Raw genomic sequence first — 16,418 nt, 5'->3', positions numbered from 1 at the left:
CTCCCCGCCCCCTCTGTCCCCTTCCCTGACCTTCAGCCCGGGCAACCCCAGGAGGTGGGGGAGCCCCGAAGGGACAGAGATGGCCCTCCCGCGCGCTGCGGCCACAGGTGTGCCCGAGCCTCCCGGCTGCGCTCCCCCGGGCCCCGCCCGCCGCGCCCCGCGGTGTCGCCCTCCCCTGGCAGCGGCGGGCACTGCGCGGGAGGCGGCGGCGCGAGGCGAGCCGGGCGCGGCGGCAGCAGGGACGACCCAGGCTGGAGCTGAGGCCGAGCTGAGGGCGCCCGAGCCCCCCGCCCCGCCCGTCCTCTGGCTCCGCAGCGCTCAGCCCCGGGCCCGCGGAGACATGAACGCCCCGCGGCCCCACGCACCCCGGGCGCAGCGGCCCGGCCCCGCGGCCCCGTGATGGGCTCCTGCGTGTCGCGAGGTGAGGGGGCCCGGCCGGGGGCGGGGGGATCGGGTGCCGGGGACCCGCGCAGTCCCCTCGCCGCTCGGAGACCTGGGGGATGGGGCTGGCGACCCGCCCTTCACGGCCCCGCCGCACCCCTGGGGACGCGGCGTCCTGAGGGGGACAGAGCTAGGGACGGTAGGGGGCGGGGGCAGCGCAGAGAGCGCACGTGCAGAGGTCACCGCATCCCCGCCCCAGTTTGCAGCCCCGCAGGTGACACGAAGCAGGGTCCCGTGCCGTGCCGCGCTCTCATCCCTACAGCCACACACCCCCTGCCGGGTGCCTGGGAACCAGCTCTGGTTCTTCCTGGCTTCCCGGAGGAACTGCGGGCACCGGGAGAACTAGCAGACCCTCCCTTTCCCACCCCTCCCCAAGACACAGGTCTTACCAGCTCACCCCCACAGCCCCTTCCCACGTCTTACCGGGTGCCCCCATCTGCAGAGCCCCTGAACCCTGTTGGCAGGAAAGGGTTAATGGTGGGGCACAGGTTATAAAGAAGGTTCCCCTGCCCCCTAATCCTCCTCCCCACCCCCATCCTTGGACAGGGGACAGAAGGGCCAGAGCACAGCTGATGTTCCCAGTTACCCCTGGGCCTTTCTCTCTGTGTCTGACCTGTCACCCTCCACTCTCCCCCACGTGGTACCCAAGGAGGTGGAGGGGACCTGCCCTTGCCTGGGGGCCCAGGGCAGGCCCCAGCCTCTTCTATCTGTGAGGAGGGGACACACAGTCTTGCACAGAGATTGGGGGATGGGCAGTTTGGTCTTTGGAGCCCCCTACCTCCACCCCCACCCATCACCACCAGCTTTCCAACAGGCTGTTGGGCAACATTTTAGACAAGCGATTGGGCTGAGCCCTTCTCCCACCTTGGTCTGTTCACCCCACAGTGGGATCAGGGGGGTGTGACTGGGAGTGGGGGTGGCTTTGGCCTTGGTTCAGGCTCTGCAGGCTGAGGCCAAACCCACTGACCACCACCACACCCATCACCCCTAGTAGCTTACCCAGAATAGAGGGGACCTTGTCCTGGGGGTATTGAGCAAGGAGCACAATGACCTTCCCCCATCCTCTGGACTCGAAGGGCTTCTGCTCAGGAGTTCCTGTGGGCATTCAGGTAAGTGGCTCAGGATGTCTCTGGGAGGTATCGGGGTGGAATCCCGGCTGGGGAAGGGGAAGGTACAGGGTCAGGCTGTGTGGGGTTCCTTTACTTATCCATGCATTAAGCTGATATTAACATGATAGCTGCCGTGTGCCAGGCACCGTGTGCATGCTGGGCATCCAGCAGCAAGGAACCCAGCACAGCACCTGGTACGGGAGGCCTGCAGCCTAGCGGGAGGGGAAGGAAGTTTGAAGAGTGAGGAGTGCTGAGGGTTCTTTAGGAGCACCAGGCTCCAGAAACCCCAAAGGTTCTAGGCAGTCTCTGGCTGGGGCCAGCTCCAGGTGGAGGGGATCTGAGTGTTTCCTCAGTGTCCCTTCCCCTTCACTTGGCCACCCCATATCAGGCACCTTGGGGTCCCAGCCCAGAAGGACTGGCCTTTGAGCTGAGAACCCACTGAGCATGGGACAGAGGCCGGGGAGGAAGAGACGCCTGCTAAGGTCACCCTGAGAGGCTGGGGCCCAGGTCCTCTGACCCCACACCTGGGGCTCCCTCCACCGCCCCCTCTGCCAGGGCTCTTTGGGGCCACAGCAGCCAAGATACGCTCTCTCCACCCTTCCTTCTGCAGCCTGGGCTTCCTCAGCGCCCCCCAGATCTAATTGTATAGTCCAGCCTTGTCCCCCTCCTGAGAGGACGGGGCCCCTGGCAGTCTCAACATGCATCCAGGAAAGTTGGGTTGAGGTGAAAGGAATATGGGGAGCCATGTGGGCAGGGGACAGCCAGGGTCCCAGAGACTCTGGGTGGCTGCATCACTGACCCACCCTGCCCTCTCCTTATCACTGATGCTCTCCGAGTGCATACTAGTCTGAAAGTTTTAGGCAGATAAAGCTAGTTTGGGTTATATATGAACACAGTCCCTATCTTACAAGTGGGAAAACTGAGGCAGAGGGCAGTGGAGTGACTTGTCCAGGGCCACACAGCTAGGATAGTATAAGCCAAGATTTAAACCATGGCATGCTGACTCCACAGCCTAGGGCCTCAGTCTCTGCACTCACAGCCAGCCCTCGGCCCTGGTGCCTGCACCTGTCTACTCTCCTGGAGCTGCAGGCTGCTGTGGGCTCCTGAGCCCCCCACCTGGCCCCTGCACCAGCAATCGATTGCTAATCATAGCCTCTGAGCGCTCAGTGCCTCCTAGGCCAGGTAGGCACTGCTACAGAAGGAAGGGTGGAGGGAGTGCGTCCACCCTTGGCCAAGGCCAAGGATTGCAGGCCTCAGGCTGATGCCCATACTGAGCCCAGAGCTTGCACCCAGCTGGGGCCACCCAGCCAAACCCCAAAACCTAGGTCAGGCCACACCTGGGAAAATCACCCCATCCCAGCATCGGCAGCAGTTAGCGTCTGCCTAGTTGGTAGAGAGGCTAGGAGTGCAGAATACGAAGCAGGGCTCCACCATTTACTAGCTCTGTGACCTCAGCAAGTGACTTGACCTTGTGTGTGTATCTCAGTGTTCCCATCTCTAAAATGGGAATTATAATAGTATTGATGTCATAGGGTTGCTGGGCGGACTAAATGGCTTAATTCATGTAAGGCATTCAGACCAGTACCCAACACATAGTAAGCACTCGTACATATTAGCTATTGCTCTCATTTTTACTTTTAATTTTAATATTGTATATATTATAATAGAGACAGGCTCTCACTATGTTGCCCAGGCTTATCTCGAACTCCTGGCCTCAAGCCACCCTCCCACCTCGGCCTCCCAAAGTGCTGGGATTACAGGTGTGAGCCACTGCACCCGGCCTTTAATTTTTATTACCTGTCTGTGCAGACAGCTAATGTGGGCCTTCATGGCTGGAAGGGGAAACCTACAGAGGTTTTAAGCCACATCCTGCCTCATGGGAAAGGCAGCGGGTGGCAGGCACTCGAGGTGCTGAGGACATTGAGAAAGTGATTGGGACCAGATTAAGGCAACAAATGCTGTTTCCAGGAGCTATTTTGCATTCATTATCTATTTTTAAGCTACCGTTTGTTGAGCGCTTATCCTGAGCTAGGCTGAGCCTTTGCTCTCCTGACCTAGTTAGTTCTCATTCAACCCTGTGACAAGGGATGTGGGGCTCAGAGAACGGGAGGGTCTTCCCTCAGGTCACATGGCCAGGGCATGGAGAGGCAGGACTTGAATCCAGGTCAATGTGACCCCAGAGCCTGAGTGTGGAAACCCCGTCCTTTGCTTTCTTACGTCCCTATAGAGAGAGAGGTGCTATGGCTCACGCTTATAATCTAAATACTGGGAGGCTGAGGCGGGAGGATCGCTTGAGCCCACGAGTTCAAGACCAGCCTGTGCAACATAGTGAGACCCCATCTCTACAAAAAACTTTTTAAAAATTACCTAGCTGTGGTGGTGTGTGCTGGTAGTCCCAGCTATTTGGGAGGCTGAGGCAGGAGGATGGCTTGAACCCAGGAGGTCGAAGCTGCAGTGAGCTGTGATTACTCCACCGCACTCTAGCCTGGGCAACAAAGACCCTGTCTCAAAAACAAAAAGAGGTGCTAAGTATATGGCCAGTGCTTAGAAAAACAACCTCTTGGAACACTTGAATGGTCCCTATTTGTTGGGGGCTCTGCAACCAATGGCAGTCTGTATGGAACAGAGAGGAATATTTGCCCCCCTTCTCTCCAGTTCCAGGGGCTCAGTACCCGCTCCATGCCCTTGGTGCCATAACCACTCTGCCTCCTCACTCATGCCCCAGCCCTCTCCTCCAGGCCAACTGATCAGCCTCCTGGCCCCACCTTGGGGGTATCCAATGCACTGGGGGCCGGTGGGGTCGGGGGTGAGAGTAGAAATTAGAGACCGAGAATTTTCTTCTGGAAACTCAGACATCTGATCATGTCTGGGTGAAGGCACAAGCTCTAAGGGGGCCGACCAGAGCCACCCATAGTTTCCAAGTCCTGAGCAGTCCTACACCAGGCACTGAGGAAAGGGTAGGTGGGACCTTGCCCTTCGGGAGCTCACAGTCTGATGAGAGAGGTACAGCTTTGCCCGTGGAGTAGCCTAATGGGGGAGGCAGTATGCATGAACCCTTGGAAGGATGCCCCGAGGACCCTGTCTGGAGATCAGCACTGTTTAGTGGTTGGGGCACAAGCTTTGGAGTTTCACAAGGGCCGAAGTGTGACCCTCATCTCTGCTGCTTATTAGCAGGTGACCTTGCATAAGTGATTTATCCTCTCTGAGCCTCCGTTTCCCTATCTGTAAAATGGGCATAACATGTACTTTGCAGGATTGTTGTGTGGGTTAAATGAGAGATCATGGGTGAACAGGCCTAGGACAGACAGTACCTGACACAGTACTGTCACACCTGCTCAGTAAACAGTGGCGGCAAATCACTGCAGGCCAGACTTTGGCCATTAGGACCACAGGTGAGGTACCTAATCCAGCAGAGGCCAATCTGGGCAGGTTGCTTGTGGGAGGTGAGGCTGGAGCAAGATGTTCCCAGAGGCCAGGTCACAGGATGGGAGGGAGCCTGGGGAAGGAAGTGGGGAGGAGCTGGGGTGTGTGGAAGTCCTGGGGAGGAGCCCATTTTCTCTCTCCATCCTTGCACGGGGAGAGAAAGGGACCCCCTTGGATAGCTCTGAGCTGAGCCAACCCACAGATGAGCTATTGTCACGGCTCAGGTGACCTGTAAACAAATGTCCTGGGGAGGAGGGGACACTCAGTCCACTCGAGGCCTGGCCTCTGCCAAGCTCTGTGGCCTGCTCCCCTGGCAGTGACTCAACAGGCAGAGCGGCCAAGGACTCACCCTCAAGGGCTTCCCTCTGCGGAGCCTCCAGAGCCAGCTCCAGCCCTGGGGACAGGACCAGAGGAGTGGCTGACCAAGATGTGTCCCATTGTCCAGAGAGAGACACTGAGGGGAGAGGGGTGGAGCGGCTGCTGCTTACGGACTGCTTGCTGTGGCAGGTGCTTCCTCCTTGCTGCAGCCCTTTCTGGGCTGGTATTATTTCACAGATGAGAATCCAAGGCTCACAGGGGCTAAGTCCCATGCCCACCCCCTGCAGCGGAAAGTGAGAAGCGGGGACTTAAACCCAGCTCAGGGACCGTAAGAGGAATGCCTTGGCCGCTTACGTTCTCTTCAGAGCCAAGGGCAGAGCCCGGCACATCACAGCTGGGCAGTACACACCCGGGCAATGGTTGGCTAGAGGGGCCGCATCGGCTGCAGGTGCCCTGAGAAGCTGAGCAGAGAAGCCCGAGGCTGGCCGGGGAGGAGCATGAGGGGACGCTTTGACCCCAGGCTGCTGCTCAGTTTCTGTGTGGTTTTGAGAGGATATTTACCCTCCCTGGGCTGCTGCAGAGTCAAACACGGTCCCTCTCTGCCCTCTGGGGTGCAGAGCCCTGGGAGGCACTCTTGGGGTAGATGGCAACCATGGTGACTAATGGGTTGGGACACGGAGCCCCAGAGAACAGCTTAAAGGAGTTGGAAGGCCCTGAAGCAGACGAGAGGAGCCTGAGGGGTTGTGCTGCAGACTCACCCAAGGATCAAGTAGAGAAGACCAACCAGTATGGGAACTGCAACAAGAGGGGTTTAGGCTAGACATCAGGAGGAACTGTCTGGGAGGTTAGACTCTAAAGCAGATTGAAGAGGAGCTGGCATAGGAAGGCAGGAAGCACCCTCAAGATGCAGAGGAGAAGCTCTGGTTGAAGACAGAGGGATGGAGGAGACATCTGGTTGACACCCTCTCCTTGAAGAATCAAGATGGCCCTCTCCAGGTTGCCATGGCAGCCAGAAGCCTGTCACTCTTGTGGACAGAGGAGGTGGGGGAGGGAGCAGGTCTGAGAAGGGAATTCTGACCTTGAGGTCAGGAGACTAGGGTGTGGACTGAAAGAAAGGGGGTGTCCTTCTGGGAGAGGGAGCCACAGGAGCAGGTGCTAGCGGTCCCTTCGGGCTGCCTCCCAGCCCCCACCCCACATGACACTCTGTGTTTTTCCAGTTGCCAGTGGTGACGTGACCACCAGTCCCAGCTGGGCGAAGAACAGCCTGTGATTTCACCCTGGGCTGGTTCATTACCTGACGTCCCCATGGCAACCAGCCTGTGACATCATGGGGCCAAAGTCCTCAGGGGGAGCAGGCAGCTTTGGTGGAGGCACCTGAACCCCAACTGAGGTGGGGAGCCAGGCGGGCTGGGGAGGGGGTGGGAGCCAGGAGTCCTCCAAGCCCACCACCGTCTCAACAAATGACCTTGTTCAAGTCATGCCTCTGCCAGGCTTTGGCATCACCACCAGCCTCCTCTGTGCCCGGCTCCCCTCCCCATCAACCTCGCTCCCTGGTCTGTGGCTGGAGAGTTGTAAAAAAGCTTCAGGGGATGGCCAGGGGTCCTAGAAATACCCTAACACCTCTCAAGTTCCTAGGGTCAGCCTATGGCCAGAGCCACCTGTCTGCACCTTGGCGGGCCCTGGCTTGTACAGGACATGCAGAATTTCCAGAACCTCAGGATTGGCAACTTGCAAACTTTTTTGACTGGACCCATAGGAATAATATATTTTGCATCATGACCCAGAATACACACAGAGAAAATTTTTACTCTGTGTGTGTTGTGCACACACATCTGCACAGACTTGTGTTTGCATAAACAGAAGCTTCATAAAGTAATACTTAACCTGACTTGCAGTGGGCTCTGATATTTTCCATTCTATTCCATTCTATTTCATTAAAATAAGACCTAATTAATAAACGGCTGCATGACCCACTGAAATATGCACCCCCAGTTTGAACATTGCCTTTGAAGGGCCTGGACAACATGGCCTTTGTGGAAATGGAGGCCTTGGAGCCCAGAGAGGGGCAGGACTAGCTCAGGGTCACACAGCAGGGACTCAGGAAAAAGAACAAGATGAGCTGAGTGCTATGGTGTGCAGGCGCACGGCTCAGTCCACAGGATCCCGTGCTGCCCCAGGTGCTCTCACCTCCTTAGGCCTGCCTGGGTCATGGGTGGGGTGGTCAATAAGATCTTTCCTTGGCTCCAGTCTCTGCCTCCAGCCTCCTTGACTAGCCCACCTGCTTACCTTTGGGTGGATCCCAGAAACCTACGGTCTCTTCTGCAAACTAAGTCTAATCCAGTTGGGATGAAAACTTGAATCTCAGGCTGGGCGTGGTGGCTCATGCCTGTAATCCCAGCACTTTGGAAGGCCGAGGCAGGCGGATCGCCTGAGGTCAGGTGTTTGAGACCAGCCTGGCCAACATGGTGAAACCCTGTCTCTACTGGAAATATAAAAATGAGCAGGTGCCCATAATCCCAGCTACTCAGGAGGCTGAGGCAGGAGAATCGCTTGAATCTGGGAGGCGGAGGTTAGAGTGAGTCGAGATCACGCCACTGTACTCCAGCCTGGGTGACAGAGCGAGATTCTGTCTCCAAAAAAAAAAGAAAAGAAAACCTTAATCTCACCTCCAACTGAATGCTTACCTTCCCCCTGCCAGCTGCCCCTGAAATGAGGATTTGGGTACAACTGATATGAGGTGAACCTTCCAGAGGAAGCCAGTAGGGAATGGAGCGAGAGGAGGATGGAGGAGGCCAGCCAGGCAGTGGGGTGGTCTCAGGCCTGGCCTCAGCCTGGTCCTGCAGGGTACTCCGGAGGGTAAGTGAAGGGGAATTTTCGGATCCCAGACAAAAGAGCTGGGGTTCTGCACCTGGTAGTCATTGGCTTGGGGCCACTCTGGGTGGGGCCAACAGAAATTTACCTAGGGCAGCCCCTGTAGAAAGAGCCACAGGTGGTGCCTCTTAGAAGCCATGCAGGGCGCCAGGGCAAAAACAGGAGAAAGGAATCCAGGGGAATTGGGGGCAGCACCCACATGGTCCCCTAACCCCAGTGACACAATCTGGCCTAGAGCATTAAGTCCCTCCGCTGGCGGGCAGAGAGTGAGCGCAGGGACCATTGTCTTCCAGGGAGGGAGGATGCCTGCAGCAGGGGAGCCCTGGGAGAAGGGAGCCGGGAGACCTGGAATAGACCTAAGAGAGGGCTAACAGGATTTGCCGGTTGACTGCGTGGCCCCGGGGAGAGTGGGGGAAGGCAGGACCCTGAGAAACTCCCAGGGTTGTAGTTGGTGCAGTGGGGGATGGGGGGAAGGTGGACCTGGAATTGGGAATCCTCTTTTGCCCAGGTGTGCTTGGGGTGCCCCTTGGGCATCCATGTGGAGAGCTGGAAACTCAGTTGGGAGCTCAAGTGAGGAGTCAGGGCTGGAGGTGTGCACATGGGCAGCGGGCAGCGGAAACAGGAAGGTGAGACCTCCTGGGGAGAGAGGGTGGAGAAGGGCCAGGACAGAAGTGTGCCAGCCAACGGGCAGGGGTGAGCCAGGGAGGAGCCAAAGAGGGGACCCAGGACAGCAGCCAGAGAGGCCAGAGGCCAGGATAAGAGCGAGGCTCAAGAGGGCAGGAAGGCTGCACAGCTCCAGCTCCAAGAAGAGGCTGGAGCAGCCCCCATTGGAGTTGGCCCCACGGATTTTCCTGGCAGCTTGGCAAGGGCTGCCTCATGAAAGCCTGCTTGGAATGGGTGGAGGAGAAGTGGAGGACGAGGAAGTAGATGTGGGACACAGCTCTCTGCACGTCCAGCGAGAAGGGAGCAGAGGAACGGCCAAGTCGCTGGAAGGAAACAGTGGTCACAAGCTTCTGAGAAGACAGGAGATGCTTGGGTTGCCAGGATGCTGACGGCCCCACCCAGTGGTAAAGGGGACAGAGGAGTGAGAATGCAGGAGAAGGTCCAGAGCCCAAGACACATCGCAGCATATGAGATCCCGGCTGAATGCTTCAAAGTGGACAGAGTGGAGAGGGCACAGTGACACCGCAGGAGGGAGAGCAGAGCCTCTGGGGGGAGGGCAGGGGCAGGACCCAGCCCTGGGTGGATGGGCCAGAAGGTCTTGGGTGCAGCAGGAACAGCTCTTCCTTTGTTGCAGGAGGGAAAGGCGATGATGTGGGCAAAGGTGCAGGCAGGCTCTGGTGATTTGGGTGGAAAGATCCAGGTGACACCTTTCCAAGGATCCTGGACCCAGTGAGGGAGGGGCAGAAGCCCCCAGCAGTGTGTGGGGTAGGGGAGGGGGTGTGTTTCATGTCTGAGAAGGAAGGATGGGGTGAAGCTGTCAACCTGGCAGGAAACAAAGACAGCAGGAAATGCAGAAACAGAGAAGGATCCGGGCAGCGTCCCACGGGAGGCTGGGGCTACAATCTCGCATGCAGCGGTCACTTTCTCCAGCAACATTCAGCTCCTCAGATCCAGGCACAGGGCAGGAGGGTCAGACCCAAACCGGGGTGAGAGGTAAGGGCGTCTGTGAGAGAGAGCTCAGAGGCCATGCCAGGGTGTCAGCCGGGCCAGGAGCAAAAGAGGACGGGAGGATCTAGTCTGGAAATATGAGGGTAAATGGATTAAAGATCTCCACGAGGCCAAAATCATGCTGGAGTGTGGGTGCTAGAAACTGAGAAAAGGGAGTAAAAAGAAGATGAGGCCAGTAATTCCCGCTGAGGGGCACAGGCAGGAGGGCATCTGGCTGGACCCCTTCCCTGCTGTGGACTTGAGTCTGCTTTCTCTACGATGTTGTTGGATAAAAACAAGGCCATACTCACCTTACGGGGGGGCCTTGAACATGCTTTGTAAGCAAGAGAGGGCTGGGCTTTGCTGAGTTCCTCCTCTTGCTCTTATTTCCAGACCTGTTCACAAGTGCCCACAAGAACTGCCCCATGCCCCAGGGTGCGGACCCCTTGAACCCAGATCTGCCCTCGGGCCGCACTCCCACCGTGGCTCCAGACTGTGTCATTGGCAAGGTAACTGGCTGCTCCTCATCCCTGTGCTACCTGCGCCCCGGTTCCCGGCCTGTCTCCTCCCCGCAGGGAGCAGAATCCATTCCAGTCTCCTTCCTTCCCTGCCAAACCCGCTTCTCCCTGTGGGACCAGGGGCCCTAAGGCCTGGTATTCAGCAGCATGAGGGGCTGGACTGGACTGAGCATCCAGGGACTGGACCAGGCTTGTTTAGAAGACCAACCACCCTGAAGGTCTTCCTGCGCAAATTAACTCTGCCTTGCAGACAACACATGCCGCTACCAGCCCGCTACTCCTGAGCAGCCTCACAAATTTTATATATGTTATGTTATACATATAATTTGTATATAAATATATAATATATAACTTATATATATTATATATAATTTATATGAATATAATTTATATATTATATATATTAAAATTTTATATATGTTTCTCAGTCCAGATGGATTTAGAAGATGTCACTAAGGGTCACAAGGGACCCCAAATTCTGGTGCATAATTTCCGCCCTTGCTCCAGGGTCTGTGGCATGAACCCACTGGATGATATAATTACCTTCTCCCCAGCGGCACACCCCTCCTGCGAAGCACTGCACTCAGCTCTTCTCAGCCTCCGTTATGTTATTTAGGCCTCACCACAACTCATGAGGTGAATGAAATTGTCACCATTTTGCAGAGGAAGAGACGTGTTCGGAGCTGTTAGGAATAGTCTAGGGACACCAGCTGGGAAATGGCAAAGTCAGAGCCCACACCCAAGCCTGCTCTATAAGCGGCACCCGAGGCCTGTCCTCCCAGCACCACTGTTGCCCCCTCCTTCTTCCTCTGCATGCCGGGGGACACCAGAGCATGACCCATGAGAGGGCAGACCCCAACCTCACACAGCACCAGAAGAAGGCTGACCCCCACCCCCACCCAGGGCCCCAGGACTCGGGCCATCTGCTGGCACAGCGTGCCAGGCCCTGCCTGATCCTCTCTCTCCTCTTGTTTTAGGACAAACAGATGGATTTCTGTTGGGATCCTTGGCAGGTCAGTGCACTTGTGTGTCCCCATTCTAGCCGGCCCCAGCTGACACCACGGCCCCTCCATCCTTTGTGCCCAGCCCAGGCACACAGTCCTGCTGGCCCTGGGGCGGGGGGGGGGGGGGCCTGATGAAACAGTGGGTGGGGGTTGTCCCGTGGGAGTTAGTAGGATCTCCCTGGCTTTAGCTGCCCTGTCCCTGCCCACTGGCCAGAGGACCTGGTGAGCTGGGAGACGGGGATGGGTGGTGGTGCTGGAGGGATGTCGGCCGGCAGCCTGGCCCACCCTGCTCACTCCTCCTGCCACTTCCTCCAGAGGTGCTTCCAGACCACCAACGGCTACCTGTCCGACTCCAGATCCCGCCCCGGCAACTACAACGTGGCAGCCCTGGCCACCTCGTCCCTTGTGGGTAGGTTCTGGCCGCAACTCTCCTGCCGGTGGAGAATGCACGGTCCCACCCTAGACCCTGGCTGTGGGAAGGGCATGGCTGAGTTGCAGGTGGGAGGATGGCAGCCCTATTGGATTCTCCATGTTCTAAATGCCAGAGTCCATGCTGGGTTATGCGGGTCACGGGGGGACCAGTGGCTCAGGGTTCTGCTTCCACAGGTTAAACTGCTGGGTTCTCAAGAAGCTCTGAGGGGGTGGGGCAGAGTTTTTCAGATGTCTGTCTGGCATGGTCTCCCTGCCTCTCTGCCAGTCCCATCACCTTAGTTCAGGTTCCCTGGAAGCAGAGCCTGACATGGGCATGACTGTGCAGGTGATTCCCTGGGGAATGGCCCTCAAGAGAAGCCAGCAGGCAGCGGGGGAGGCAGAGGGGCCTTCGGAAGGGGCTCTGCAGGAGTCTAGCCCTGCCCACCTGGTCCCACTGGGAGCTTGGGAGCACAAATAGCACCCCAGAATTGATGACACCCCAAGGCAAGGGGGCTGGACTTTATATTCCCCCATTGCTGACTCACTGGCTGCCCCTGGGGAGGACTAGGTAGCCTCCCGGCCTCTCTAGGTGCCCAGGAGCTCAGGGCGGTTCTCCAGATAAGGGTGTGAGCTGACAGCAGCAGCACCTGAAGCAGCTGGGCATGGGCTCCCAGGCCTGTAGAGCAGGTTTCGGTGGCCACCACAGCATCAGGTGGCCCCAGCACTAAATCCCACCCAGCTCCCCTGAGGCCCCTGGGGCCCTCCCTCCCCACATTGGCCTGTGCCTTTCCTCCATCTCCAGTGCCTTCCTCCACCTCACCTGCCCTTCAAGGGCCACTTGAACCCCTACTTCCTACAAAACACCCTCTCCAATTGCCAACACTCCCCAACTTAGTGGGTGGGAGGGAGAGTCTCCCCTTTCTTCCGTACCCCCATCTTTCCCATTTTCCCCACTCTCTAATTACCTTTGTGGATATTTCCTCCTACTTAAATATTGCCATTCCTCACATTATGGCTTCGGGGACCCGGGTGACTCCCAGATCTATTCTCAGCCTTGGTTAATGGTGATGCTGAACCATTCCTGGCAGCCCCCTCTCCATCTTCCGCATACAACAGCTCTACTCCCAAAGCCCCCGACCCCTCCTCTCTGTCTGCCCAGCCCTTGCCTTGTCTGTTGCTGGGTCCCTGCGGTAACCCCTAATCCTCCAACTGGGTTGCTCTTCCTAAACAGCTGTTCTAACTGGTCACTCTCTTGCTCATTACCCTGCTGGGGCTCCCCATTGCACAGGAACATCTGAGCCCTCCACCTGGTTCTCCCCAACCCTGTTCTGTCCCTGATCAGCTCCCAGCTTCTCCTGCCGCCCAGTCCTAGAGTGGACCCCATGTTTCACCCCAGCTAATCCTGGACTCACGCCAGACACTACCATGCCTTCATCCTCTTCTCATCTTTGAAATGAAACCTCCAGTCTTGCCTCTGTCTGTTCAAACCCAACCCACCTTCAAATTCCAATCCCAGGTCCCCTCTTCCAGGAAGCCTTCCCTGCCTGCTCCACCCACCCAGGTCTCACCTCCAGCAGAGCTGGCAGGCCACAGAGATGCTCTCTCAGAATGTGTTTAATGGATCATGGAGAAAGCTGGGGGCTCATGAGTGGTCCTTGGGTGGCTCTCCTTGGATGGAAGGGTCTGAACTTGGTCAGAAAGGGAGTGAGGGGTGTGGCCGATCTGGGGAAGAAGCATCCAGTGGGCGGGAACATGGACTGGGAGTAGGATGCTGGGAGGAAATGTGGATGCCAGTGGGTGGGGGCATTAAGGGAAGGGGGCCACAGAGCTCGGAGGGCTCAGGGCAGGAGTGAGCAGAAGGCTTTGGAGGGCGTGAGGAGTTAGATGGGTACAGGCCCCTGGGGAGGTGTGGGGGCACTGATGGAGATCATGGTGCACTGAGGGAATGTGGGGTACAGGCCACTGGGTGGGCCTGAGGCATGGGGGCCAGGCCCTGCGCTGAGCCTTGTGTCAGGACAGTCACCCAGATGCCCTCCATGCCCCAGGGGTGGTGCAGAGCATCAAGGACCACATCACAAAGCCCACGGCCATGGCCCGAGGCCGCGTGGCCCACCTCATCGAGTGGAAGGGCTGGAGTGCCCAGCCGGCAGGCTGGGAGCTGTCCCCAGCTGAGGACGAGCATTACTGCTGCCTCCCGGATGAGCTGCGTGAGGCCCGCTTTGCTGCAGGTCAGCGAGGAGGGGGACTGGCCAGGGCTCTGTGGGGGTGAAGCTGGGTCCTTGGGGGCCCAGATCACTGCATGGGCATTGTCTGGGCAGGAAAAAATAATGGCATAGGGTGGGTGAGTATTAAGTGAGCACTCTTGACCACTGGGGTGTGGATTGGCAGCCCAGAGAGGTGGCCACCCTCCCGCCTGTCCTGGAGCAGCTCCATCAGGCACTGAGGCCGTCCCCACCCATGCCCCCCTGAGCTGGATCTCGCTGTTCCCCCAGGGGTCGCCGAGCAGTTTGCCATCACAGAGGCCACACTGAGCGCTTGGTCCTCGCTGGACGAAGAGGAGCTGCACCCCGAGAACAGCCCCCAAGGCATCGTCCAGCTCCAAGGTACAGCCCAGAGGGTCCAGGGGGCGGGGGTGGGCAGAGTGGAGCTGATTCTGGATGGCTGCCCATCACCAAAGGCAGTGTGACCTCGGCCAAGCCCCTTCCTTTTCTCAGCCTAAGTTTCTTCATCTGCAAAATGGGGCAGTGATCCTTGCCTTGCCCATTGCCCGGCAGTGCCAGGAGCAGGAAGGAGAGAGTGAGCACAGTGGGGGCGGGAATCGAGCGCTTACCACACCGAGGGCTGTGCACGAGGCACCTCACAGAATCCTCACAGCAGCCCTAGGGAGTGGGTCTTGTTGTCCCCATTTTACAAATAAGGAAACAGAGGCACTCAGACGTTCAGAAACTTACTCCAAATGACAGCTAGAAGCGTCAGAGCCGGATCTGAAACTTAGCACCAGGCACGAGCAACCACCTTTCTAGAAGCCCAGGTTACTACTGAGGGCTTCAAGGAGCCTTGGCCCTGGGGGAAGCCTGCACTTAGTCCTCCTGCCCCAAGAGGGACGGGGAGGGGACAGAGGCCCAGAGGAGCACTGGTTGTCCCAGTTCTCAGAGAGCACAGGCTGGCTCCAAGCCCACTCTTAACTCCTCCGTTTACTGCCTGGAGGAGAAAGCTGGGGCTCAGAGTTTTGGTGACTTGACCAAGGTCACAAGGCTCGGCCGTCACATAGCTGGATTTGGAGGCAGGTCTTCTGCCCCTTGCCCTTTCTCACACCCCCAGAGAGGGCGAGGAGCTGGATCTGGGACGCCATTCCCCCATCACCCCCTTGCTTTTCCAGATCTGGAGAGCATCTACCTTCAGGACAGCCTTCCCAGCGGCCCCTCACAGGATGACAGCCTTCAGGCCTTCTCCTCGCCCAGCCCCTCCCCTGACAGCTGTCCCTCACCTGAGGAGCCCCCCAGCACCGCTGGCATCCCGCAGCCCCCCAGCCCAGAGCTGCAGCATCGGCGGCGGCTGCCCGGGGCCCAAGGACCCGAGGGTGGGACCCACCCCCCGGGCTCCCTCCCCTCCATGGACAGCGGCTCCCTCTGGGAGGAGGACGAGGTGTTCTATAACTGAGGTGGGGGCTGTGCTGGTCCAGCACCTGCTCTCACCATGACCTCGCCTGGTGGGCAGCCCAGGCATATCTGGACCCCGGGGTCCAGGGCAGGGCATCCCTTGACCCCTCGGGTAGGCACAGGGTAGGTGCGGCAGGGATGGGGCCAGTGCTCATGGTGGCCTCTCTGTGCCTCGGTGGACCTGCCCCAGCAGTGGGAGCCATAACCCCCTCCCCCTTCATTACTTCACTCAGGTGGGCACCTTCCCCTGCAGGGTGTCTGCCCTCAGGGAACTCACGGACTCTCAGAGACACCAGGGCAGCCTGGCCCAGAGGAGCAACAGCCAGGCCCCCAGGAGGACAGCCATGGAGAGAACTGAGACCCACTTACAGTGGGGTCTGGGAACCCTGCCTGTACCTGGGGTTCAGTCCCTCCCAACTCCCTCCTTGTGTCTGCCCCCCAGCAAAGGTGGGGTGACCACTTCTGGTAGCTAAGCACCTGCTCCCCGGCTCTCTTCACCCAGGACATCTGTCTCTCTGGAGTGTCTGTCTGTCTGTCCCTCCCTCTCTGAACCTGCTTCCTCCGTGTCCCCTGCTCCTCACCCCTGGGAGCCCACTCCCCCTCCTTGCGGCTCCCTCCCATCTCACTCAAGGTTCTCTGAGGACATTAAAGTGGTGGATTCACCCTGGATGACCTTGGCCTGGTCTCTGCTGGGGAAGATGTGACCTTGGGCCCCTGGACAGAGTCCGGAGGGAGTCAGGGAAGGTCCCTACTGCCAATGCTCACACAGCTGGTCAACCTGCTCCCACCCAGCCAGAGAGGGCCCATGGAGGATGCCTAAGGCTCTGTGGACTCCCCAAGGAGCCACACTTGGGTCCTGGCTTTATGAGCTGTGGCCCAGCCAAGCAGGAGACTAGGGCTTGAGCAACACAGGGTCCTGCTTATCCATGAGGACAAGCATCATAGACCTGGTGGGAGACCCTCTCTCCCTGGCATCTCCCTGCCAAGAAATGGAGCATGAGGAGGAGCCCAGGG

The 16,418-nt window shown here is 58.3% G+C and overlaps 1 protein-coding gene across 1 annotated transcript, besides 4 other annotated features; it reads left to right on the top strand.

The window, feature by feature from the left end:
• Window positions 137-296: a silencer, noted in NCBI's record as "silent region_323". NCBI's record gives its function as "represses an Ori minimal core promoter by ATAC-STARR-seq in GM12878 lymphoblastoid cells {active_cell/tissue: GM12878}" and the evidence as "EXISTENCE:reporter gene assay evidence [ECO:0000049][PMID:35858748]".
• FAM131C (family with sequence similarity 131 member C) lies at window positions 191-16,073 on the top strand. Its single transcript, NM_182623.3, has 7 exons — window positions 191-421; window positions 10,206-10,321; window positions 11,308-11,343; window positions 11,650-11,743; window positions 13,791-13,973; window positions 14,238-14,348; window positions 15,125-16,073. Exons 1-7 carry the CDS (start codon window positions 400-402, stop codon window positions 15,403-15,405), a joined length of 843 nt encoding a protein of 280 aa, NP_872429.2. The 5' UTR covers window positions 191-399; the 3' UTR covers window positions 15,406-16,073.
• Window positions 13,146-13,336: a silencer, noted in NCBI's record as "fragment chr1:16387001-16387191 (GRCh37/hg19 assembly coordinates)". NCBI's record gives its function as "represses an EF-1alpha promoter that drives an FKBP-Casp9 reporter gene in an ReSE screen in K562 erythroleukemia cells {active_cell/tissue: K562}" and the evidence as "EXISTENCE:reporter gene assay evidence [ECO:0000049][PMID:32094911]".
• Window positions 14,383-16,418: part of a biological region, named in NCBI's record as "CLCNKB recombination region", that runs on past the window's edge. NCBI's record gives its function as "recombination_partner: LOC106501712".
• Window positions 14,383-16,418: part of a non allelic homologous recombination region, noted in NCBI's record as "sub-region c', recombines with sub-region c within the CLCNKA recombination region", that runs on past the window's edge. NCBI's record gives the evidence for it as "EXISTENCE:polymerase chain reaction evidence [ECO:0000082][PMID:15044642]".

This window comes from Homo sapiens, chromosome 1 (genome assembly GCF_000001405.40).
Source record: "Homo sapiens chromosome 1, GRCh38.p14 Primary Assembly".
In the NCBI taxonomy this organism is placed as follows: domain Eukaryota; kingdom Metazoa; phylum Chordata; class Mammalia; order Primates; family Hominidae; genus Homo; species Homo sapiens.
The sequence above is the reverse complement of the archived record's forward strand: the minus strand, read 5'-3'. Positions and strand labels throughout refer to the sequence as shown.